Consider the following 25,690-nt stretch of genomic DNA (forward strand, 5'->3'; position numbering starts at 1 on the left):
TTTAGTGGAATCTCCTGGTACTTGAGTACTTTTCCTCTTACCAGTTTCAAAATATTATGTTTATCTCTGGGTTTTAACGTGTTGACTATGATGTGTGTGGGTGTTGATATATCTCTGCATTTATCCTCCTTCTAGTTCATTAATTGATCTTGGATGTTTAGATAATGTCTTCATCAAATTTTGGAAGTTTTCATTCATTTTTTCTTTGAATATTTATTTGTCCTTTTCTCTCTTGCCTATACTTCTGGTAACTCCATTATATGTATGTTAATGTATTTATTGTTATCCCACATTTTTCTGAGGCTGCCTGCATGTTTTTATTATTTTTTTCTCTACTCTTCAGATTGCATGATCTCTTTTGAATCTATCTTCAAATCTACACATTCTTTCTCATGCTTCCTTGTATCTACTGTTGAACCCTGCTAGTAAACTTTTAATTTTGTTTTTATTTTACTTCTAATATAGAATTTCCATTTGATTCCTTTCGATATTTTTCTATCTGTATTGATATATAATACATTTGATAAGACATTGTCATTATAATCATTAATTATTGAAATACGGTTTTTCTTTAGTCTTTGAACATATCTGTAATAATTGCTTGGAGGTGTTTTATAATTCACCATCTGGGCCTCTTCCAAAGCAATATTTCCATTGCCCACTTCCTTTCTTCTGTCTAACATTTTCCTATTTCTTCGTAGATGACATTTTTGTTGTTGCTGTTGAAAACTGAAATTTTAAAAATAATATATTCTAGCAAGTCCCTATTCTAATTCCCCTCACCAACACACACTAAGGGTTGTTTTGGCTGTGTATGTGGTTGTTTATTTATTTGTTTAGTAAGTTTGGTGAAGTAATTCTATAGTCTATTTCCATTATAGCATTAAATTTCTGCTGTTCCTGCTCAAATTTTAACCCATGTCTGCATCTTGACACCTGATTAGTTACGTGTTGTCCCTGGTTCATATAAGATACTTATTCCTCAAAGGCTGCATTTAACACCTAGTAGCCAGACAGATTTTTACCTGTTTCATTGGATGGGTGTATGTGGTTTGGAGGCTGATGTCAGAGTTTAGGAAACTCATGTTTTGATGGAGGATCTTACTCCACCATCCTAAAAGTAGTAATTACTAATAATGTTTTTCAGTATACTGTCAGTCTCCAAAGCTATTTTCAGGTGATAACCTGTCTTCATTTGAAGGCATACATACTGAATCCTTGCCTTATGCACTTTTTTCCATTTTATCTAATTTATTGAACATGCTGCAGAAGAACTCCAGGAAAATTGTTTCAGCCATGGCCATTGCTAATTTCTAAAAGGACCAAAACCAGCACTTCATTGAACTGGTCATTAATTGCTTGAACTCCATGTGTCAAGAGAAACAACCTTTTACTTAAGTACTAGTGCATAAGTACCCTGAGCTGACTTGGGTGAAATTCATGACAATAGGTTTTTGATGGTGGCAAAGCTGTCAATCAAATCAGTTGTTTGGGGAAGTTAAAATGCTGGGTAAAGGAAAAACAGACATATCATTTGAGCTTAGTTTGTAATCTGAAAGGTGCCAAGCCATTTTCTCACTTCTTCATGATGCCTGCAGTACACTTGATTCTTTAGAACAGTGAAACCCAAAGTAACTATGAGATAACATTTCTTGCTAAATTACATCTTTGTGTATCTTTGCAATAAACACCTATTACCAAAGGCAATGTGTGTGTGTCTTTTCCATGGAACCTTAAAGAGCCTGGCAATATATCTTGCATTTCCTACAGAGAATTATCCCCAAACATCCGTGTTAGTTTGTACAAGATGAAGTTTCCATTCTAACTACAAATGAGTTTGCATTGTTCAGGTTGTATAGCTAAGTTATGGTTCCCTGACTCTCTTTTTTGAGAGGTTTTTTGTTTAATTTAATAGAAAATCCAATTATTATGTAAATATAAATGTAGTATAATTGCCACAAACAAGAGGCGAAACAATGAACTGATGGAGTTTCTGGAGTTTAAGGAACCTGTGATTTATGACTGACTCTCAGGTATGATTGATACAGACAGTTCAGAGAAATGTTCTTAATCATTTTCCCCCAACATAATGTTAATATTTTCGCTTTTAGATCATCTAATATGATGCATATCAGTGAAGAAAAGTTGCTTTGGGAAGGAATGTATCACAAATTCATTTTTCTTCTTTTTCAGACTTATTAAAGACCAAGAAGCTATAAACGTCATTATTTAAAATGCCTCCCTTTAAAATGTTTCCAGCAGATGTTTATGTAGAAAAAATGCTGGATCTCTCTTGGCAAGACAGAGAAGTGACATTTCTTGAGGGTTCTGGTTGAAAAATTTGTCTTTGCCTTCATGTCTTTAAACATCTGCAAAAACGAAATAATCTTTATTATAACTTGGAGAAAAGCAAAGTACATAGGCCCCTAATCTTTGAAACACTCTTCAAGGAAGTGACAAAGAAAAATATTCCAAAGTTCTTTTTCTTCAGTCGAATTTCTCTGTGACTGCTGAACTTCAGAGTCACAGTTATGTCATTAAACATTAACAACTTACTTAAATGAGGGAGAAGCTAGAAAACACAAACTGAAAATTCCACTTCCTGCCTAAATTACCGATTTTCTACGTTTTCCCTGTATGCCTACTATCATTATAAGAATCCAAGACCAACTGGGAAATTTGAGATGCAATGAGAAAAAAAAGGGGTGCTAGACTGAATGAGAGAAACATGTGCCATATTTTCTAATGGGTGTGAGGTTTTGTAAATTTTGAATTGTTTTCTTCATTCCTTCTAAATTCAAATACTTTCAGCGTCTAAGACCTCAACTGAGTTAAACTGGGCACCATCTGAAAAAGAACTGAACATAATGCTCAAATCTCAGAATGACTTGTTCTTTCTTACACAGTAACATTTTAAACAAATAATTCCAACTACCAAGAAGGTCTTTTTAATTTTTTTTTCCATTCAGGTGTTATACTCATTTGTAAAGCTACCATCCTGCCCTATACTCTTCCTCCTTTATTTTTACCTCCACGATTTTCTCTAGAACGGGTTTTATGGATTGACACCCAACTGGTGTAACATTTCTCAGCTGTACTGTTTGCTCCAAGGACTTTAAGCTGCTTTTTAGGTACGTTCGAGATCCAAGGTTTCTTTATGAACATGATGTCCTCCTATTCTCTTAAAGTAAAGGTTGCATCAGTTGCAGGGACCTAGAAGTAAAAGTGAAAAGTCTGCTAGAACTCACAAATTGATAGTACAAATTTTAGTTTGTATATTTCTTTACTATCCTATTTAATTCTATTTGAGGAATTGGGAGGGAAATAGAGAATATGAATGATTCTTATTAAAATATGTGCCAAAATTAAATTTCTAATTTTTGATTCATTATTTTAGCAATTAATATTAGTAATAGAGTTTTCAGTGGTTTGTTTAGAAATATATGTGTGTATGTTTTCATATAAAGCTAATGAAAAAGATTGCATTAAATTTTTTTAAAAAAGAAAATATAAAAGTAAAATTTTCTTCTCTTATCAACCAGAGATAACTACTATTAATTATACAGCATACTTCCTTGTAGCTTTTTCATTGCATATATATAATATATGCCAAATCGGGATCATGCTACTTTTTTAAGTTAAAATTATATTGAGTAACGTTTCTGTGCAGAAAATATTCCTTCAAGCTTTCATTTATTTATTGCATAAAACCCATTATACGTTTATACATGTAAATTGCTAACATTTTTTGCTCTTATAAGGATAACACTATATAATACACATCCTGTGTATAAAGTTTGTAAGCATGCTGCTTATTTCAGGAAGGTAAATTTATAAAAATAGAATTACTAAATCAAAATGCATGTATATTCTTGGCTCTTGACCTTTTGACAATAGTTTTAAAAATTGCTTTGAAGATATTTTTGATAATTTACACTTCCACCTATAGATAAGACAACCATATCTGGACAAGTATTATTAAATAATTTTATGTATCATTGCCCTTTTGTTAGGAAATAAAAAAGTTATTGCACTCTTTTTTTAACCTGTTTCCTCTTTAATCTACTGTTCAGTTGAAAATATATTCATTAAACAATTGTTTATTGAACACTTACAGCCCTTCATATGCAAAGTTTCTGTAATATCTTTTGGATATTCAGTTAGAATGTTGACAATTTTGTGCACTGGTTTTTAGTAACTCTCTGAATATAAATAATATTATTGTTTTTGGTTTACTGTAAATATGTTTCCCATTTTGTCATTTGTGTCATTTTTTTCTTAGGGTTATGTAAAATAATAAAATTGTATATATTTGTATACTATCTGTACTTTTTCCACTTGTTTTATATATTAGCAATTATTTCTCTATCCTGAGACTAAATAACACAATTTCTCTTAAGTCTCAGGTTAGTGGAAGAATTACTCCATGTATCACTGCAATACAAATATTTAACTTACTTTGGAAATAATATTTGATGTTTGTAAGATGAATCTTAGAATAATAGGTCACTTTTCCATGTATTTGAAATGCTTTCACTATTATATTGCAGGTTGAAACACACACACACACGTACACACACAAGCAGACAGAAATACCTCTACTTTAGAATCATAAACCCTTTTTAAAAATAATTCAAAATATATATTCCCTGATAACTTCTCATTTTAATTATTGTGGTTTTATATTTTAATATATTGTAAAGTAAGTATGCTTCTATTACTGTACTTTTTCAAATGTCTTACTTATTTTCATCTATTTATTCTTCTAGATTAAAATGATTTTACAAGTTTTAGAACACTCTATCAGAAATTGAATTAAACCTATAAACTAATTTGAAATACAGGAACATCAGTATATATGTATATGCATGTGTATTTATATACATATATATCATTTATTAAAGCTTCTTTTGTCTCTCTTTGTAAGGTTCTATTATTTAACCGTGTTTACATATATTTCAGCTTAGGTTAGCTCTAAGTATCTTATGTGTTTCAGACTCCTGTGCAATCTTACATTTTTTTTCTAATTCTTTGGATTTGTATTGAGAACTTATACAAAAGATATTGATTTTTCTGTACTTACCAATTATCCTGTTGCTTTACAAAATGCTGTTAGCTCTTAGTGTTTCAGTTGCTTTCCAAAGAATCGTTAGGTACATTATCAAATTATTTTCAAATCATGAGGGCGTTTTTTGTCTCTTTCTACTATACCTTGTAAACATTTCTACTTAATATATTAGCATATTGACTAGAAGTTATGAAAAAATTCAGTAATTAACATGTAGTATGTATTATAGTTATGTTTCTGACTGATGGAAATTTTTAAAAATTTCATCCATTTAATACGTTATATTGGCTGGTATTTCTATGCATTTATGTTAAGAACGTTATGTTTTTCTTAAAGTAGTAGGTTTTGAATAGGAGTTTCATTTTTCTGTGTATAGCTTTTTGCTTTCTTTTGTTTTACTTATTTATTATTATAAGTTGGTGATAAAGTCTATGGATTTTGGCTTCTGTTGAGGTTCTCATAGCTTTTGTTTGGTCTTTAGGTATGTATGTGTTTACCCATATGAAGCCTCTTAAATATTCCTGGGATCACCACTGTTTATTTTCAATGATGATTATTTTACAATATTATTATTATTGAATGGCTCTGGTGTTTGAAAAATCTATATTAACATCTTGCTCTTTCCTTGTTTGTTTGTAACCTTGAATCATTTATTTAATATTGTTAACATTTAGCTGTCTTCTGTAAAATGGGAATAATAATGACATCTACTAACAGGTGGATATAAAAATTATCTGAGATAAAGCATTCTTAACCCATTGTCTGTCAGATAACAAGAACACAATAAATAATGTAACAATGGTAGTGGTAGTTGTAGGAGAATTGGTATTTTTCCTAGAATTTTTGTAGTTTACTCTTATAAGATATAATAATACATAGTTGTCTTTTCATGTCATCCCTCAGGTTTTCAGAACAAGATTGTGCCAGCTTCAGGAAATGGTTTTTGAATTTCTCCATATTTGTTACAGACAACTTAAATGGTATGAAAATTATATATTCCATGGAAGTCTAAAATAATTCATGGTCCTAGAACCTATATTTTATAAAATTTGAAAATATTTTTTAAATTTGTTTTATGTTCATTGATCTTTTCTGGTTGTTCAATACCTTCTTAATCCCTTCTTTACCTAGCTTTTCAATTCCCCAAAGACTCAGCATTACAGCCTTTCTCTCAATTAATTTTGCTTATCTATGCTTTAAGTCTTGTCTCTTTGATTGGCTCTATAGGCTAAAAACTTTTATTTATTGATCAGTGGCATATATCTATATTTGGTTTTGATAATATTTTCTTTTTCTTTACTGTCCTCCTATTTTTTGTTTTTCTTCTTAATATTTTTGCAATATTTGATATTATTTCTCTTTTTGAAGAATAAAATCACTGGTTGCTATGATTTATCCTAGAGTATGGCTTTGGTCTTATCCCGTAATTGTATTTTCTCAAATCCTTCTAGCTATGCAGCTGGTTTGAGCCTTATCTTCTTGGTGATTTTTGGAAGGTAAATCATTTGGGCTCATGAGGAACAGAGGAGCCAAACCACTATTGAGAAGATTGCTGTTCACCATTTTGACAACCACACAAGCCACAGATGATACTCTCAGGTAGTTTAGCCTGTAAGAAGAGTATTTGTGGATCACAGATTTAAACATACAGTTAGAATTTTGACTTTCCTCTCTCTTGTCTATGTCTCTTCTTACTCAGGAATTAATTACATATTATAATAGGTCTTTAGGGGTATAGGACTGAACGATACCTGGTTTCTGACCTTAGGAAGCTCCCAGCCTAGTGGAAGAAACATACAAGCAAACCCTTTGGAATGGTCTTTATCCACAGACAGTGTACTAGTTTCCCTTTGCTGCTGTAACAAATTACCACAAATTTAGTGGCTTAAAACAATACACATTTATCCTCTTAGAGTTCTGGATGTCAGCAGTCAAACCTGAGTCTCACAAGTTAAAACCAAGGTGATAGAGGTCTGCATTCCTTTCTGGAGACTAAACCTAATCTGTTACCTTGCCTTTTTCAGATTCTAAAGCCTGCCTCCATTCTCTGGCTGTGGCCCCTTCCTCCATCTTCAAATCTAGCAATTCTGCGAAAATCTTTCTTATGATGCATTTCTCTGGTTCCAACTCCTCTGCCTCCCCTTTCACCATTTAAGGACCCTCTGATTAAACTGGACTCACCCAGAAAATCCAGGGTAATCTTTTCATTTTAACATCAGCTGATTGGCAACCTTGCTTCCATCTGCTACCTGAATTCCCTTAGCCATGTAAGGTAATATATTCACAAGTTCTGGAGAAGAAGACATGTACTTCTTTGGAGTGACAGAGGGACTAGCTACTACACACTGGAAGAATCAAATATTCAATATGAGGATATTGACACAAGGAAGAACACATACAAGAATTTTATGTAAAAGGGGTCTAAGAATGACCAGGAGTTAATGCGGTAAAGAGAGCATGAAAGAACATTTCAATCCCCAGGAACAGTGCGAGCAAAGGAATGAAGTGAAGAGAGGAAATCAAGTCTGGGTTATCGGACTTACTGCTGAGTGATTTTACAGCTTGGAAGTAACACTTCTCTGGTAGCCAGGTTCTCCAGAAGTGTGCTTGTGAGCTCACAGGTTTGTCATTGGTTCTGTTTAGGGTCCAATGTTGCATGTCATTCATTCTCTTCTTTCCTCCAGACGGGAAGTTCTCAATTAGTGTTACAATGGGATGGGACCCATATATTGGAAATAAAGCTATAGAGGAAAAGGTTGGAGATTGCATTTATGTACAGATTTGGGAGTGTCTGTCAACTCAGTAATGGCTAACATGTCATACATACACGTGGCAAAGATAGTAAAGACAGCAAATAACAAGTACAACAGAAGCCATTGAGGTGGTCATAAAAGAACACACACAAATGTATGCAGATATTTAGTAAGCGCTCATGACAAAACAGTATATAATTTGCGGAAATATTTTCAAATCTAGGCAACACCTCTATGTTTCACTGTCACTGAGGCATGTTAAGCAACTCTCATTTACATGTGAACTCCACAGTGCCCATAATCTTAAACTTGATTTGTAAGATTGTAATACCCATCAGCACCCTTACTCTAATCTAAGAAATTCTGGGAATGAAGAGCAAATAGGCAATATAAAGTCTATCTGAATATTTAGACAAAGAAGAAGTACTTCACTTGTTGCACTAGAAGTAAAGCAACAATTAATTAACACAGGCAATAGGAATTTCTCCTGCCATACCACTTCTACATCTTCTGGGTGACAAGGACCCACTATTCTTTTCAGGAAATGTATTTGACTTTTACTTCGGTATAAACATATGTGAAATAAATAACTTATATTATTTATTTATTATGATGTATAAACATATGTTTATACCTGAAATAAAAGTCAAATGGCTTTGGGAGGCCGAGGTGGGCAGATCATGAGGTCAGGAGTTTGAGACAATCCTGGCCAATATGGTGAAACCCCATCTCTGCTAAAAATATAAAAATTAGCTGGACATGGTGACACACTCCTGTAGTCCCAGCTACTTGGGAGGCTGAGTCAGAAGAATCGCTTGAACCTGGGGGTTGGAGGTTGCAGTGAGCCGAGATCATGCCACTGCACTTCAGCCTGGGCGATGGAGCGAGACTTGGTTTCAAAAAGTCAAATGGCACTGGGGACATAAGACTGAGCCCTGGGGGACCAACCTTCTTGTTATCTCAGACTGTTCCTGAAGTTTTGCTCCTTATTTTCGTGTGACCACAAATTCTTTTTGTTCATTCAGTCTTAAGTTACCTTCTCCTGGTAAACTCATGACCCCTCACCCACTGGAGTTTGTTCTAACTTCCTATCTATGACCAACTTCAAAGTGTCGACCATGTGGAGATTTCCTTCTTGACTTCCATTATTCCAGCCACTTGCATGGGGCCAGCAATAGTCTCTCCTTGGTGTTAGCCAGCAGGACTCTGTCAGGCTCAACTAAATTCCGAGTGTCCCACATAAAATAAAAATTTCTGGCATGTCTTTGATCTTCTACCATATTCCCTGTTTTCGGTAATCAAATGTGTTTAACAATTTGCTTAACCACATGATAAATCGAAAAACATTGTTGCCCTGTTAATATTACGTTAATGCAAATAATAACTCAAAAGGCAAAAATCTGTGGTGTTCAAAATTTCTTCTGTAAAATTTCCGTACAGCGATACTTTTAAAACTTGACAAAGAAATCTGGCTCTCCTTTTTGCTTGCCCCAGCCTTCCTTTCTTCTTCCCTCTTGTCCCCATTTTTAAGGGCCCATTGTGCTCCAAGCACTGTGGTCTGATTAAGGATATGTTCAGCTTGATAAGTACAGAACGTTATTGTCAAGGTTCTGTTCTTTGAATTTTTATGACGCAGAACTTAGAGACCAAGAAAGTCAAAGAAGAAAGGGACTGAAGAATGTCAAGGAAATGACCTAGCACTACAAGCCATAAAGTAATGACAGTTTCAAGGGGAAGAATAGAGAGAAAGAGGAATCATGTGGAGAGGAAGAAGGTGGGGAGTTAAGGAGAGAATTTGGTAAGTAATGACCTGAGAAAAGACGTGCTAGAGTAACTCTGGGATCAAAGAAAGATGAACAGCCAGAAAAAGGAGATTTTTTTTTAATGTTTCTAAGTACTTCATATTCTGATGCCCTGTGAGTAAAATAAGGAGTTTCTTTTTAATTAGGCTGTTCCGTTAAACTTTGTCTTTTGCACATGCCGTAGCTCTGAGACTGACTATATAGATTTATGAATGCAGAGAAAATATAACTAAAACAAAACATCTGGCCAGTCTACGACATAATGCCTGTTATATTTTATAATTCTGTCTGAATAAATATATTTAGAACAAATAATATGACTTATCTTCATTAATTTCTTGAAATAGTTTGAGGACCTAAACTTTTAGCATTTTTAATACTTATAAATTTTGTTTGTCCCATAGTATGTAAGTATGTACAACAAGTTTTCTGAGTTTCATTCTCTCCACTTTGGGCCTGTTGCATGTGGGGGTGTGTATGTGTGTGTGTGTGTGTGTGTGTGTGTGTGTGACTGTGGTCTCAGAATCAAGAACTAGCTTGAGTATTTAACCAACTCAACATGCAAGGTTATATGGTCTCAATTTTACTCATGATAAACTTATGACAAAGTACTTTGTTTTGGCTCATAATAAATATGTGTGTTTCAGCTCCCTTCTTAAGAGACAATGGTGTTAAAATTTAAATTTCACCCCCTCAGTATCATTTTGCCTAAGGCTTCTTTGAAAAAAATAAAAGCAAAAATATCTGGCTTCACCTCAGCCATCTTCTCTGCCTCTGCCCACCCCCAACCCCAGCCTTTTTATTCTCAATTCTCACTTCCCTTTTCAGGTTATAGCCAACAGGAATAGATCTGACAACTGAAATTCTTATGGGTAAAGGCATTGTGGACAAATACAAACTCACACACAATGGGTTCCAAAGTAAGTACGCCTGCAATCCAGGTGGGAAGGATTTCTATGGCCATGCTACTTTTGCTGTCTCTGCTTGACAAACACTCGTTGTTCATTTCAGATAATTTATTTCTGCCCTGCATTAGAAGATGGGTGTCTGCTCAACCTAGATGAGGCTCAACAATATCTCAGAGGGTGAGCAAGGCTTTCTTCCCGGGGGCAGCTCCACACAGAAAACCGACAACCCACTTCCTGGGAAGAGGAGTGGAGAGCAGTTTCATGAAAACAAATGTGCTCTTCAAAGGTGCAAAGGTCTGGAAGAGAGAGAAAGTAGATGGGGAGGGGGGTGAAATTGAAAACAATGTATTTTTCCTTCATTGCCAATCATTTTGCACTGATGTTTCTCACTCACTGGATCAATGGCATTAATTGTTTCAGGAGGATTTCAGATGCCATCTAGGACAAAGAAGTCATTGCTCAGCTAGAATTTCAAACTAACTTTGTTTTTAAGTTCATGATATTAAAAGCCTAGCTTTGTTGAATTAATAAACGATTTCTAAATCCCAAGGAACATCTTTCAGCATATCCCTAGAGAAGCTCTGGGGACTGACTACAGAGGTTTACTGTAAGCCATTGAAACCTAAAGAACGTTGCAACAAACAGAATGAGAAAGCTTGCTGGGGCTGGGAGGAACTTGGAGTAATTTAGAGGCACAAGTCTAAGGCTAAGATGTTTTTCTGAGTCCTTTCAAAGAAGAGCAATCCCATGTTCAGATATGGTGACGAGGTAATTCACCTCCTATTTGGGGCTTAGGGCTCTTTGCAATAGAGTAGAAGTTGCAATGGGCAGATACAGGAAGAATCAGTCTGGGATAGTACATCTGGCTCCCCACTGCCTGTATTTATCTGGGGCATAGAGAATGATTTGATGTGGCTGGAACATAGGTGATGGATTAGGGTGAGCAGTAAAAGCCTGGAAAATTGCTTGCCATTCTCAAAAATTTGGCCACCCCCCTCTTCTCTTCTTCTGATAGTCTCTTCCCTTCTCACTGCTTTAAATGTCATCTGTTTGCAGGGGACACCCAAGTTTATATCTCCTAAGCACCTCCCAAGAGATCTGAAGTCATATATGTATATGTATATGTATGTGTATACGTATATGTATATGTATATATAAAATTGCCTACTTGACATCTCAACTGGGATATGTCATAGGCATCTCAACTGGGACATGTCATAGGCATCTCAAAGTTAATATGTCCAATATTTGAATTTTTATTCTTCTGTAGGACACTTTTCCGTCCCAGGCTTAGTCATATCCATAAAGGGTGCCAGTATCCCCAGCTGCTTAAGGCAAAATTCTTAGCGCCTTTCTTGGCTCCCTGCCTTCACTGTCTCCTCACATCCCACCCATCAGCAGTTCTTGACTTGGTCATTGCCACTCTAGTACAGGAAAAATTTAAGTAAGGAAATCCTAAACTACGACAGAGAGAGTAAAATGGAGTAACGAGGGCATGTCTTACGGCTTGATAACTGTACAGAGAGGACGAGGGAGAGACAAGAGTTGAAGGTATTAGTTGCATGGGCGGATACAAGGGTCGCCCAAATGAATACTATGGGAGAAGCCGATTCGGGCACATTGCATGTGAAGAATATGAGTGACCTACAGACACAGGCATTTATCAGGCAGTTATACAGCCATGCCTGCTACTAAAAGGGAAATGAGAGCTAAAAACACAGATCTTTATAGCTACTAGCTGCTTCAGTGATGCAAGTGAATTTCAACCTAGATTCTCAGATCTTTCATCACCTGGAAAAACTTGTAAAAGCACAGATTCCTTGGCCCACTCCATCATGGTTTATATTCAGCATGTCAGGTAAGGTGGCCAAGACCTGCATGGTTAGAAAGCCCCCTGAGGAAATCTGACGTGTGTCCAGTTTTGGAAACCAATGGATTGGGCCACACTGGGGAATGCTGTGTAAAGAGCAAATGGCAAAGATACTGGTCTTTGTAGAACCCAGCTTTAAGGATCGAGCTTGGAGAAAGAGGAGCTTGTAAAAAGAGACTCTAAAGGAATGATCCGACAGGTTGATGGGGCAGCCACAGAGAGAGATGTCAGAGAATGAGCCTCTTTATCCTCTTTTGTACCATGATTCATGACTACATTATCATTTTCCCAGTATTATTTTCTCAAAGCTAAAAATGTTCCTTTTCTATAGACTACTTCTCTGTAGACTATTTTTTTACGGTATCCTATTGAGTGAAAAAAGCATTTTATTAAAAGCAGTAATTTGTTACTGCTCTAAATGATCTTTTATAGTTTCTAAAACACAGTGTCTTCTTGATAAAGCAGGTCTGAGAGTGAAGTATTAAGCTACTGGAAGTCCTTGCCAATGAACAAAGACATAAAACATAATGTGACTAAGTCTGCTAATGCAAAATGGCTGGGTTGTATTTGCTAATTAGTTTGCTGCTGTTAGCACCTTTCACCTTTTTTTGTTTCTTTGGTAGGTTTCTTCTTGAAAAAAATTAGATTACTTGCAAAAATAATTTTTGAGATTCAAACCAAAGCCATAACTTTGTGTAGGCAGAATTTACACAATGGCGTTCTAAAATATCTTTCCCTTTTCTTCAGCAAGGTGATGCTCACTGAATGAACCATAGGTTAACTTCTCTGCAAAATCAGAGTGCACAGATGATGAGACATTTTATTTTTACTCTTTTGCACTTCCTCAGGCCATACCTGACCCTTTACAGCTAATGTGATCTGAAAGTGAGGAAATGAAGGTATTTGGATGTAAATGCTCAGCCACCTCCACACCTGGGTTTGCACACACCTGAGTGAGGATGCTGTCTTGTATCTCTGTCCTTCCTGTTAAAGACAACTGAGAAAGACCTTGGAGGACGACAAAATCCTCCAATATGTTGTCACTGAAAAGCTGTCGGAAATTTCACAGCTGACAGCGTTGCATCTAATTACTGAATTATTAAAAGGAAGGCATCTGCCTAAGAAGCAACCTCCTGTCACTCAAAAAGATAAATTCAAGTGAAAAGCAGAGGTACAATTAGGTCATCTCACTCACTTTTGCAGATAAATTTGAAATATTCAAACTCAAGAGGCAAGGAAACTTAATTGCGTCTGGTACCCTCTTTAAGAGTAACTTGAAATATTAAGGCAAGTGCATTTTCAGTCCTTGCATTAGTTGCTGGGAGCAACAGTCTGAGCCTTCTGCTAATTTATATTTTTGTTTCAGGCCCAAAGTGTCTCTTTGAACTTAGACTCATTTTTTTTAGTGACCCATTCTCACAAAAATTGTACCTATGAGATTTCAATAGAGGAAATAAGTAGGGGTCGTGGGGCACAGGGTAGGGGCCAAGGATGATTAGAAGGGCCACCGTATAAGACAGGCCATTTTGTTCATAAGCCCCCTTTTTTTGCGTGTAGCTTTGAAATCATCTCACAGAAATCCGCTAGCTTCTCTTGGCCTGTCCATAGAGAAAGTCAATAGCTTGCATTTGTTCTGTTTTTGTATTTGTGTCCTCAAAAAACCACATTTCTTTGTGATCATATTAAGAATACAGTAAGAAATCTAAATTATTGAGCTTTCAATGTTTGCTAGTCTCTATATGTAAAAGCTTATTTTTTTTCTGTTTTATCGCATAGTATCTCTACAAGTTAGACAACAATCATTCATTCCATTTCAGAGAAGGGAAAAATGAGTCACAGGTAAGTAACTTGCATGCTCAAAATAACATGGCTAGAAAGTGGATGAGCCAGAGAATAGCACTAGTGTTTAAACTATCTACGTGTCTTAATTAGTTATTTCTTTTCTTTTAAAGGATTTTATAAAAAGATGTAAAGAGAATGGTAATTGTGGCAGCCTTTTTCAACTTCGTGTTGCAATTGGATGTCTATATTTTCTTAACTGAAGGAGAACATCAACTTTTAGCATAATTTCCTTGCCAGTCTTTACTTGGCCCCTGAGCCTCCCTTTGCACAGCACATCCAACTTTGCCTGCATTACCTTTTCTCCATTTGTACCTCTACTAAGGCGGCAGATAAAAAAAAATAAAAAATAAAACAGGAATCCTTGCTTATTTGTACAACCCAGTTGGCATCTTTTTTCAGTTTCCACTCAATAAATATTTTTCAAACTAATGGAGTCCAACTCCTTCAACTGCAGAGTCCAACTCCTAATGATTGACTTTGTTTTGTGCTGCTTATGACAGGCTAAGGATATTTACCTGTATGACTACCAGACTACCCATGTCTCCAAGTCAGGCAGGATGACCCATTCTAGAGTATGTTTATGATGGAGACCTGGCTCTACGAAATGCATTCAGAAGCATGAAGTCTTCCAGGATGTTTAGTATTTGAAATTTGACCCTGAAGATAAGCTTCTCTAAAGAGACAAGAGGGACTCATTGGCTCAGATTAAGGTCATGTGATTCTTTCCATGCTACTGAATTATATTTTAAAAATTATAAATATTTATATATATATATACAAAAATATATATTATAAAATATGAATTAATAAATAAAAAAATAAGTAAATTTGTAAAGTGTCTAAATATTTATATTATATATATTATATATAATATATGTATTTCCCCTTCCTCACGATGGTATTTAACATTCTTCTCTGTTTAAACCGAACAACGAATCAACTTAGACTCCAGAACCATGATGACATAATGGGTTCCATACAGTGTGTGTAGCCAAAATCCCTAGGTCTAGCTCTCAGTTCTGCTGCATAGCATCTGTGTGAACTTGTGCCTCAGTTTCCCAGTCTATACAATAATAACATATTTAAAAGTGACATACTCACAATCCATAGAGCTGGAACTTAAACTCTGTGCCTCTGCTAGTTGCATTAAATGTTAATTTAATTTTTACCAGTTCATCTACTTAAGGATCTGAACTTGGTCTTATTTATCTTTTCATTCACAGAACCTAGTACAATGTCTAGCACATAGTACCTGCTCAGTAAATTTATGTTGCATGGATTTTTATTATTGTTAAAAGTTTGGCCTAACATGAGAAAATTGCCAAAATTTTAAAGAAATAATATCTTATGGCCCTGTAGGCAAGATATTTTCTAGCAGTAAACAATGATCAGAATTCAGCTATTGAAAAATTATATTTTCTTCCAATATAATGAAACAAAAGCTTATAATGGCATGCTGAGTATAGCATGAAAGCCAGAAGCCTACAAACATGTGAAAAATGTTAACATCACATTTTTAGGCTTATTAGAAACAGCCTAAATAATTACAGCAGTCAAATTACTGGTGGCTTTTGGCTCATGTCCAGGATGAAAGGTCATAACCCAACATACCAGAAGTTTTCCTGGCATGATTGACAGGAAGAGGAAATACACTGATACCTTTCACATGGGAATCACAGCTTGTTGCAAATAGAAGCAAAACACATATCTGGATTTTGTGGGAAAAGTTCATTGTGTTCTGATTCTAATTCTTTGTTCCCAAACTTGCTTAATTGTGATTTATTGGTATATGTGTGTGGGTGTGGATGTGGGGATGTGAAATGAAACAAATGCATACCACAGCAAAATAGAAATCATGCGCTGCTACTTAAAATTGTCATTGGATATATCCCTGTTTTCTCCTCATTGCAGTATCTATTGGATATTTTGGCCCTAGCCAGAAAGGAACCTATTTCTCACATGAATTTCTTTTTCAACTCCTAGATGGGAAATTATGAATTTTGGAGTTTCCAGACAATTGTCTACAATCCACCCACATGAATACAGAAAGTACTACCCCCAGGACTGACGTAACAGGGTAGTCAATCACAGCCTGTCCTAAGTCTATAATATGTGCATGGGTATTCCCATGCTGCAGCTCTAGCTCTGTGCTCTGGATCTGTTGGTATTCCAATGATTCAACACTTGGAGTAAGAGAAGGTTTTATCTTATGTTGGGGATTTTTATTTGGAGGCAGATGGTATACTTCTCAGCTTCAGTTCCATAATGTTTGAGAAGACGTAGGTATTCACAAGATTCTATAAGCTAATTTATCAGCAGGGTCCATTTTGGGTCCAGGTGTGGCTCGTATGACATTTGGATGCTATTTTATTATAAGGCAAGAGTTTTCAACCTCCACTGCACATTAGTCTCACCTGGGGAGCTATTAGCCACAACCATCCACACCTATTACACCTCTGAGCACTTGGGTGGGACCCCGACATCAGTGATTTATATAGCTCCCAGGTGATTCCAATCTGCGATCAACACTAAGAACCACTATTAGGTCATAATCCTCTCCATAGGCAGATGAAACTATATGTACATTATGCATTATTGAGGTTTTCTAAAGCAGTCACTAGCTCATAAAGACTAAGTTGTCTTTAGACTTTTTGAGGAACAAAAATTACATTGCTTGCTCTTAAAATATAAAGAGGTTCATTTTAACTTGGAACGAACAACCTGAATCAATTTCCATTTCGTGTCCTTGGAATATAGAAAAAACTCTGATCATATTCATGTCTATATTTTGAAATATTTTTATTTAATATATTCTCATGTTTCATGAGAGAAAACCCTTTGAAGAGCCCACCAGAGTATGAGATACTGGGTCTTTGAATTCATTTTTATTCAATAATAATTTTTAAGTTCTTTTAACTTTCCTAGCAATAAGAGCTCCCAAATAGTGTCCATGCTACTAAAGAATTCACGATCAGTAGGAAAACCAGTTGTGTGTGCAATTAACTATAATACTATGAGATAATTGCACTAAATGAACTGTTTATTAAGTACTAGGTCGTATGAGCAAGGGAAGATCAGGGAAATTTCCAGGGAGAAATCAACGTTTATGCTAGTGCATGAAGGGTGCTTAGAGGGATCCCAGGTGGGCACCTGGGCAAGGACACGAGAAAGTTGCTAGATAGATGAAATTTACATTAGTTTTGGGATTGAAAAATATGCTGAAAGTGCCAGATCACTGAGAATTTTTACTAATAGCCCTGCTGTGAAAGACAAACTAACCTTCTCAGTGACTCAAAAGAAGTGGGGATGATCGCCATTCTAAGTGGTGTGAGATGGTATCTCATTGTGGTTTTGATTTGCATTTCTTGTGCACATGTACCCTAAAACTTAAAGTATAATAATAATAAAATAAAATTAAATTAAATTAAAATAAAAAATAAAAAAAAAGTGGGGATGAGACACTTATTTTTTAAAAATATTTTCAAGTTAAAATAGTGAAAATTAACAAAATTCAGAATGATTGCTGGTTATTTGTATTTCTATCTTTTCCTCATTTTATGAAATACAGCAAGAGCTTTTTTCTACTCATGATATAGTTATTATAGTTATATTTTCTTGAATTAATGTATTACACAGGGCTAGTAGTCCCACATGGCATGTGCTAATAAGGTAGTCATTAAATCACAAAGACTAAGTGAAAACAATTGCTTTCATAACCTTATATTTAATTGCATGCACAGGTGTTTTTGTTTTGTAGAAGAAATTTTAAGTAAAAAGTATGATTAATTCTCATGCCATCCCAGAATGCCAGATGAAGAGAATTTTTGCCCAATTTAGAGAGAATAGAGCACACAGTTGTTAAGGTCACGGTGACAGAAAGAAAGTGTTTCTGACCTGCAACAGTTTACTTTTCTCCAAATTGCCAAATGACTTCACAGTGGGTTTCAGGGTGGCCACCGACCCGGAGTGTTCCTCTGTATTTATTGTAAACCTGGTACTGTGGACCCACTCCATATTATCTGTGCTATTTTGTCACAGAAAACCTTATCTTTCTCAGCTGTTACTGGAAGGACTCCTGGAATTATTCAGGAGTGTTTACTTGGAGCCCAGAAGTGGAATTCAGATTATCTACCAAATCCAAGTAATCTACAATGAGTTCTTCAAGATAGAAATTAGGCACTGCATACAAAGGAAAGAAACGTCTTGATGAGTGGAATAAACACTGAACTAGAAACCAGGAATTGAGGTCCCACTACTTACAAGCTAGATAACCTTGGGGAAGTCGCTCACCATGACTGGAACAACTGAACCTCACATTCTTTTTTTTTTTTTTTCTTGTTTTATACTTTAAGTTCTAGGGTACATGTGCACAACATGCAGGTTTGTAACAGGTATACATGTGCCACGTTGGTTTGCTGCACCCATCAACCCATCATTTACATTAGGTATTTCTCCTAATGCTATCCCTCCCCCAGCCCCCAGCCCCGAACAAGACCCAGTGTGTGATATTCCCCACCCTGTGTCCATGTGTTCTCATTGTTCAACTCCCACCTATGAGTGAGAACATGCAGTGTTTGGTTTTTCTGTCCTTGTGATAGTTTGCTTAGAATGATGGTTTCGAGCTTCATCCATGTCCCCACAAAGGACATTAACTCATCCTTTTTTATGGCTGCATAGTATTCCATGGTGTATAAGTGCCACATTTTCTTAATCCAGTCTATCATTGATGGACATTTGGGTTGGTTCCAAGTCTCTGCTATTGTGAATAGTGCCACAATAAACATACGCATGCATGTGTCTTTATAGTAGCATGATTTATAATCCTTTGCGTATATACCCAGTAATGGGATCACTGAGTCAAATGGTATTTCTAGTTCTAGACCCTTGAGTAATCGCCACACTGTCTTCCACAATGGTTGAACTAATTTACAATCTCACCAACAGTGTAAAAACAGAGAGCATCTCCAGCATCTGTTGTTTTCTGACTTTTTAATGATTTCCATTCTAACTGGCATGAGATGATATCTCATTGTGGTTTTGATTTGCATTTCTCTGATGACCAGTGATGATGAGCATTTTTTCATATATATGTTGGCTGCATAAATGTCTTCTTTTGAGAAGTGTCTGTTCATATACTTTGCCTGCTTTTTGATGGGGTCGTTTGTTTTTTTCTTGTAAATTTTTTTAAGTTCTTTGTAGTTCTGGATATTAGCCCTTTGTCAGATGGGTAGATTGCAAAAATTTTCTCCCATTCTGTAGGTTGTTCACTCTGATGATAGTTCTTTTGCTGTGCAGAAGCTCTTTAGTTTAATTAGATCCCATTTGTCTATTTTGGCTTTTGTTGCCATTGCTTTTGGTGTTTTAGTCATGAAGTCTTTGCCCATCCACTGCCCATTTGCCCATACCACTGACTTTCTTCACAGAATTGGAAAAAACTACTTTTAAGTTCATAAGGAATCAAAAAAAAGCCCAAATAGCCAAGACAATCCTAAGCAAAAAGAACAAAGCTAGAGGCATCACACTACCTTACTTCAAACTATACTACAAGGCTACGGTAACCAAAACAGCATGGTACTGCTACCAAAACAGATGTATAGAGCAATGGAACAGAACAGAGGCCTCAGAAATAACACCGCACATCTACAACCATCTGATCTTTGACAAACCTGACAAAAACAAGCAATGGGGAAAGTATTCGCTATTTAATAAATGGTGCTGGGAAAACTGACTAGCCATATGTAGAAATTTGAAACTGGGTTCCTTCCTTACACTGTATAAAAAAATTAACTCAAGAACCTCACATTCTTTAACTGAATATGGAGAAAGTATGCTTGTCTTTTCATCCTCACAGTGTTGGGAAAACCAAATAAATGTGGGAGGATTTTACAGTATGTAATGTGGTTCACAAGGGAGAGCCACAGATATTGGGGTTGCTATTATTATTTGGCTTTTACAGTTTGTCAAAGCCATCTTTCTTTAAAGTAGAAATGTTAGAACCAGCAGAAAAATACAGGTAAACCAGCAGAAATTACTAGAGAGAAATGATTTAGAATTGTGGGTTTAGTCTCTCCAAATTATCTTTTACATAATGAGGTGATACTTTATGAATAATTTTGTATCTGGATTTTTCACTTACTAGTTATGAAAACAATCTATGTCTTTAAAATTTTCTATATGTATAATTTAAAAACCTTGTATTATTCAAGTTTGTAGATGCCTCATTTTTATAATTTTATTTTTATGCATAAAACTTTGCCTGGATTTCAAATGTTCTAATCATAAATTCCCAATAAGGACATGATTGAATCAAAATACAGAAACACCATCAATCAAAGCTTTTAATTTGTAATTCCAAGCTGATTTCTTAAAAGCTTTTTATAATTGTACCAACACCATCAATTTGTGAGTGTATCTGTTTCAGCACACCCTTATCAACATTGTATATCCCAATGTTTAGGAATAAATGTTGTTGTTTTGTTTTCCATTGTTTTTGGAAAGGGAGGCAGGCTTAAGGGTAGAGTAGAATTTCTCCATTTATAGAACCCTTATTATGACAATCATTCTCCACGTAATCAAAAGTTTTTTTTTCCTTTTCCTCTGCCAAATAAAAATGAACATTATATGAAGTTAAGAAACTTATAGTCATGCTGATAGATTTAAAATGAACGTTATGAACATACTTTTATTTTCTTCTGAAGCATATAGCAGAGATAATAATCACACAAGTGAAGCCGTTTGAATTTTCTAATCTAGGATTTTAGGAAACTAGATAAGGATTTCAGTGTGGCAGATACTTTGCTTATCCAGAATCCACATACCCCACGTTTTTCTTAAGAGCACTTTCATGATGCACTTTGGAAGTGCCCAATTTGCCCAGACCTAGTGGCTCGGGCATGATTGTCCTCAGCCAGTCAGTATAACTCCATTCTCTTTTAGCAGATGATGCTTATTTTTCTGTTTCTCTTAAATTAAGGAATCCATATGTCATCATTTCTGGCCAGTGACCTCTGAGTGGAAGTCTGAGAAGAAGTTTCTGGGAAGAAGAGTCCTGTTATGTCCTCACTCTGTTGTTTCCTGTGAAGGATACTGGTGGGCAGAAGGGAAGACTAGATTGAGGCATCCATCTTGACATCATGAGATAAAGACCATCAAAATTCCAGAAGTACCTAAACAAATGCTGGAAGCAATCAACCAATGATGAGACCACCTCCCGCCAAGGGTATGTCCAGCTCTTTAAGGTTTTAAGATACTAAGAGTCGATTCATAACATTAGTAAAAAAGATATAAACTAGATATATGAAATTTGCTAATAATAAACTGGATAGGAAAACACGCCAATAATACACAAATTTGAAAAAAGAAAAGGCAGTCACAATGAAAATAAAGCCATGAGCCGTCACCTGGAGAAGACAGTTGACCAGCCATAGCTATAAGCTAAGGTTCCCCCAGAATGGGTATTTGCCATAGACCAGGAAATATGCAGAAGTCAATCAATCACAGAAGTTGAGTATAGAATCAAGATTTACCAAATATTTGAGAGAGGTGATGCGCATGAAAGAGAAATAGAAAATCCAAAATTAAGAATAACTTATACCCAGGATAATAAAGGTAATAGAGCAAATATATATTAAAAAAATCTTAAAATAGGAGCTACAGGGGGTATTATGATTGTCATTAAAAAAATAAAAGAATATATGTGAGGAAACAAGTACCAGTAGTAGTGAAAAGAACAAAATAGAGATTTGGGGAGGAAAAGTTAGTCCTGTAATAATTGTCGTACATGTATAAATAAGCACATTACATGTACAGAATAGCAAATTAGATAAAATGAAGGGCAAATTGAAGAGCTAGAAGGTCAAATTGGGAGACATTTGTAGAACACAGCACAAAAAGTTAAAGAGAAATAAATGTGTAAAATGAGGTCTAAATATTTTAAAGAGAGATCCAAATTTTCAATGTCTATGTAAAACCGTTTGTATATTGAGTGACAAGAGAGTGGAAGAGAGGAAAAGATTGAAAAAAACAGTAGCAATAAATATCCCAGAAATGTTGCATAATAAATATATTCATAAACAAATAAATATCATCTGTCCTCAAGTTGAATGAGTACATGGTACTGAGTGGACAAAATTTAATCACAAGCTAACCAAAAACTCACATTGAGACAACAATAAAATCAAGTTTTATAAAACTAATACTGAAAGAAGTAATCTTAGATGCCAGAAGAAAAAGAAAGATTATCTAGAAGGAAAGGGAGGTCAGACTGACACCAGATTTCTCCTTAGCAGTATGGAGTAAAGAAACCCAGCAAAGTGACATCAAAATTCTGAGAAAGAGTATTTCAAACCTAGCATGCTATACTCAGTCAAACCAGCCAAACTATCATTGGAGATTGAAGGGGATAATAAAGTTTCTTTCCGACATAGAAACCTTACAATTTATAGAACTTCTCTGAAATAACCATAAGAGAATGTACTCAAAAATAAAAATGGAAGAGGGAATATACAAGAATTAGTTTAAACAAATAAATATCTAAAGCCCTATCAAGTTTTTATCACTTGTAAAATTTATTCCACAATAAACTAAGGGGTAAAATGCCTATGAAAGGAGTGAGGTGAGCACAGAAAAGAAAAGTTTGCTCAGATATAGGATATAAATATTGAGTAAATTCTGAACTGAATACTTCCCGAACCCATCATAATGAGAATATCTGGGGAGAATCCTGGAATATATTTTCAGGGAGGACTACACCTATTGACCAAATTAAATTGAACTGCAATAATTTAAATATAAAAAGGGAGATGGATTCATGAATTTTAGTAAAAAGTAGTAAAAATTGAAAGTAGTATATATGCGTGATAAGATATATACAAAAAAGAATAAAGATTTTTTTCAAACATCTATAATGCTACTATAAAATTTTTAAAAACCACCATTGATACTTGGGAGGTATTTTTTTCTGGAGTCTTTTCTTTGCATATTTTTATCTACCTGTGATCAGAATGTCTGAAAAATGCTATCAGACATTTCTACTTATTGTTACAATGTTACGTTGTATTTTTGTATCACCTATTTTTTAATATAGCAAAGTTTTGCCTTGTGAATGGGCATCATTTTCTGACTCCTCTTTTATCTCAATATTTCTCAGTTTAGTTGTCCATACTTCCTGTTTCTACACAGATTTCCTTTGGGGCAGAACATAATCCCATTGGGCTTGTTTCCACCACTTCATTTGAAATGCCTATCGCAGTTATCAATAGCCCTCTATGGCAAGTTTCAAGTTCTGAGCCCGTCTTACCAGATGGCCTCACAGCATTTGGTATATACACTAAAATCCAAATTTCCATCTCCACCATCACCCCCTAAGCTGAACTTGCATATATATTTCCCTTCTCAAAATCTCCAATCGGGCATCTGTTAATCCTATCACATATGAGGTATCTGAAACCAACCTCTTGATTTGCACTCCCCTATGAACCTTCCTTTAGTTTTACCTATTTCAGTAAATGGCAACCCCATCCACTCCATTGCTCAGGACAAAAGCATCATAGTTTTTTATTATTTCTTCCTCTTATACCCCTGTTCTGAATTAAACTGTTTCAGGTTGTCACGACAAGGACCCCATCCAAGTCCATGTTAATCCAAGTGGGCAGATCGCTTGAGCCCACGAGTTAGTTTGAGATGAACCTGAGCAACATGGCGAAACCCTGTCTCTACCAAAAAACACTAAAAATTAGCTGGGCTTGGTGGTGCCGCGCCTGTAGTCCCAGCTACTCAGGGGGCTCAGGTGGGAGGATTCCTTGAGCCCAGGGAGGGGGAGGTTGCAGTGAGCCCAGACCATGCCACTGCACTTCATCCTGAGTGACAGAGCGAGACCCTATCTCAAAAAAAAAAAAAAAAAAAAAAAAGAAAGAAAAAGAAAAAGAAAACAATAATAAAATGAAAATATAATTATGTTACCCCCAACTTCTGCTAAAAATACTTTAATGGCTTTTAATCTCCAAATCCAAAACCATCCCCTTGGCTGTACGCCGCTGTGACATATGATCTGGTTACTTCCCTCCTTCACTCCTGCCTTTGAGCCACACTTCTTGGCTTGCTGTCCCTTGAGCACACCAAGCAAGCTTCCCGTAGTCAAGTCACATACGCTTGCTATCCTCTGTGCCTGGAACACTCTTTCTCTAGATATTTTCCTTTCTGACTCCCTCACTCTCTTTGGTGTCTTGCCAAATGTCACCTCCTCAGAGTGTCCTTCCCTGACCTTTAGACCTGAAACTAACCACCAATCAGTACTCTTCATCCTTTTACGTTTATTTTTATTTTTAGTGTCTGTTACTCTTAAAATTATACATCGTTGTCTCTGTTTCTTCCCTCAAATATAAATGGTTATTTATATTACGAGTGAAGAAATGGAGGTTTTGAGGTGACAATAGAACTATTTGATGTGGGGATGAAACCCTAGATTTTGAAGTCAATAGATGCAGGGAAGAGAGAGAGACAGAGTTAGTTCAAGAGCATTTTTTTTTAAATGTTTGAAAGTGGAAGACAAAGAACTCTTTTAATTATAAATCACACCTTGGTCCAGTAAGGAATGAAAGGTTTGAATTCCAGCTGGTGTCAGGAATTGACCACAGCTTGCTGATACTGTTTTAAATGACTCCAAGTGTGATTTAAAGGCACCAAAGAAGCCAGGGCAGGGTGGAGGTCACCCTTTCGATGCTATCGGTGATTAAGGTAATTTGGGAGCTGAGTCAAGGAAGGTGTGGTTTGCTGACCCACAAATCCAAAGGGAAAAGGTAAAACCTTTGAAAATGGGTCAGGGTAAGTATTCCTTTGTCCAATTTGGGGAAAAGGCAAAGTAGACCCAGCTGGACACAATTAAGTCTGCAAAAGGTCCAAAGGGCCATGAGCAAGAAAGAGCAACAGGTAAAAACTAACCTCTACGCCAACTCTGATACAAACCAGTGAGACCTACAAATGTGTTGTCAATTTGCATATTTCCAGGAGAGGAGAAGGCAGCCATCCGCACAATGTTAACTGAGGTATATGTTGAGAAGATCACCTGAAATGAAATATGAATCTCATTGAAGGTACTCTGAAAGTGCTGATGTTACATACAAGATGGGGACTTCAGTCACTAGCAAGTCCCCAAAGCTTATACCAATGTCTGAGATGAGGACCCTGCTCCCGTACACTCCATCCTCCTACTCGTATCTCCTCCACACCAATCATTACACTGTTTTCATCTCTGCTTTTATGACTTTCTTCCTAACCCTATTGTGAGTTCCCTCTCCCCAAGGCAGAAATCTGTCTTTCATCTACAGATGCCCCAGATGTTTGGATGGTTTTTGGTGTGTAGAAAGTATTCAAAAATATTTGGTCGAATTATTGTAAATGAATGAAAACACTCAAATGAAAAAGATCTCATTTCCCATTTTTAGAAACAA

General features: G+C 35.8%; 2 long non-coding RNA genes across 3 annotated transcripts; one reads left to right on the forward strand and one right to left on the reverse strand.

Annotated features, from left to right (window-relative positions):
* Positions 1-1,994: 1,994 nt before the first annotated feature.
* LOC101927310 (uncharacterized) lies at positions 1,995-9,409 on the reverse strand. Its single transcript, NR_110756.1, has 4 exons — positions 8,770-9,409; positions 7,612-7,809; positions 3,030-3,213; positions 1,995-2,369 (listed from the first exon to the last, which is right to left on the reverse strand). It is a non-coding gene; the product is annotated as an uncharacterized LOC101927310 (long non-coding RNA).
* LOC105371007 (uncharacterized) lies at positions 2,838-14,334 on the forward strand. 2 transcript variants are annotated; one of them, XR_001751696.2, is made up of 7 exons: positions 2,838-3,131; positions 5,972-6,048; positions 6,520-6,667; positions 9,458-9,619; positions 10,452-10,543; positions 10,635-10,708; positions 14,178-14,334. It is a non-coding gene; the product is annotated as an uncharacterized LOC105371007 (long non-coding RNA). The 2 variants fall into 2 exon arrangements; XR_007064804.1 differs by lacking the exons at positions 9,458-9,619; positions 10,452-10,543; positions 10,635-10,708; positions 14,178-14,334 and adding an exon at positions 7,093-7,702.
* The last annotated feature ends 11,356 nt before the right edge of the window (positions 14,335-25,690 follow it).

The sequence above is a fragment of the Homo sapiens genome, chromosome 15 (genome assembly GCF_000001405.40).
Source record: "Homo sapiens chromosome 15, GRCh38.p14 Primary Assembly".
NCBI classification, from domain to species: Eukaryota; Metazoa; Chordata; class Mammalia; order Primates; family Hominidae; genus Homo; species Homo sapiens.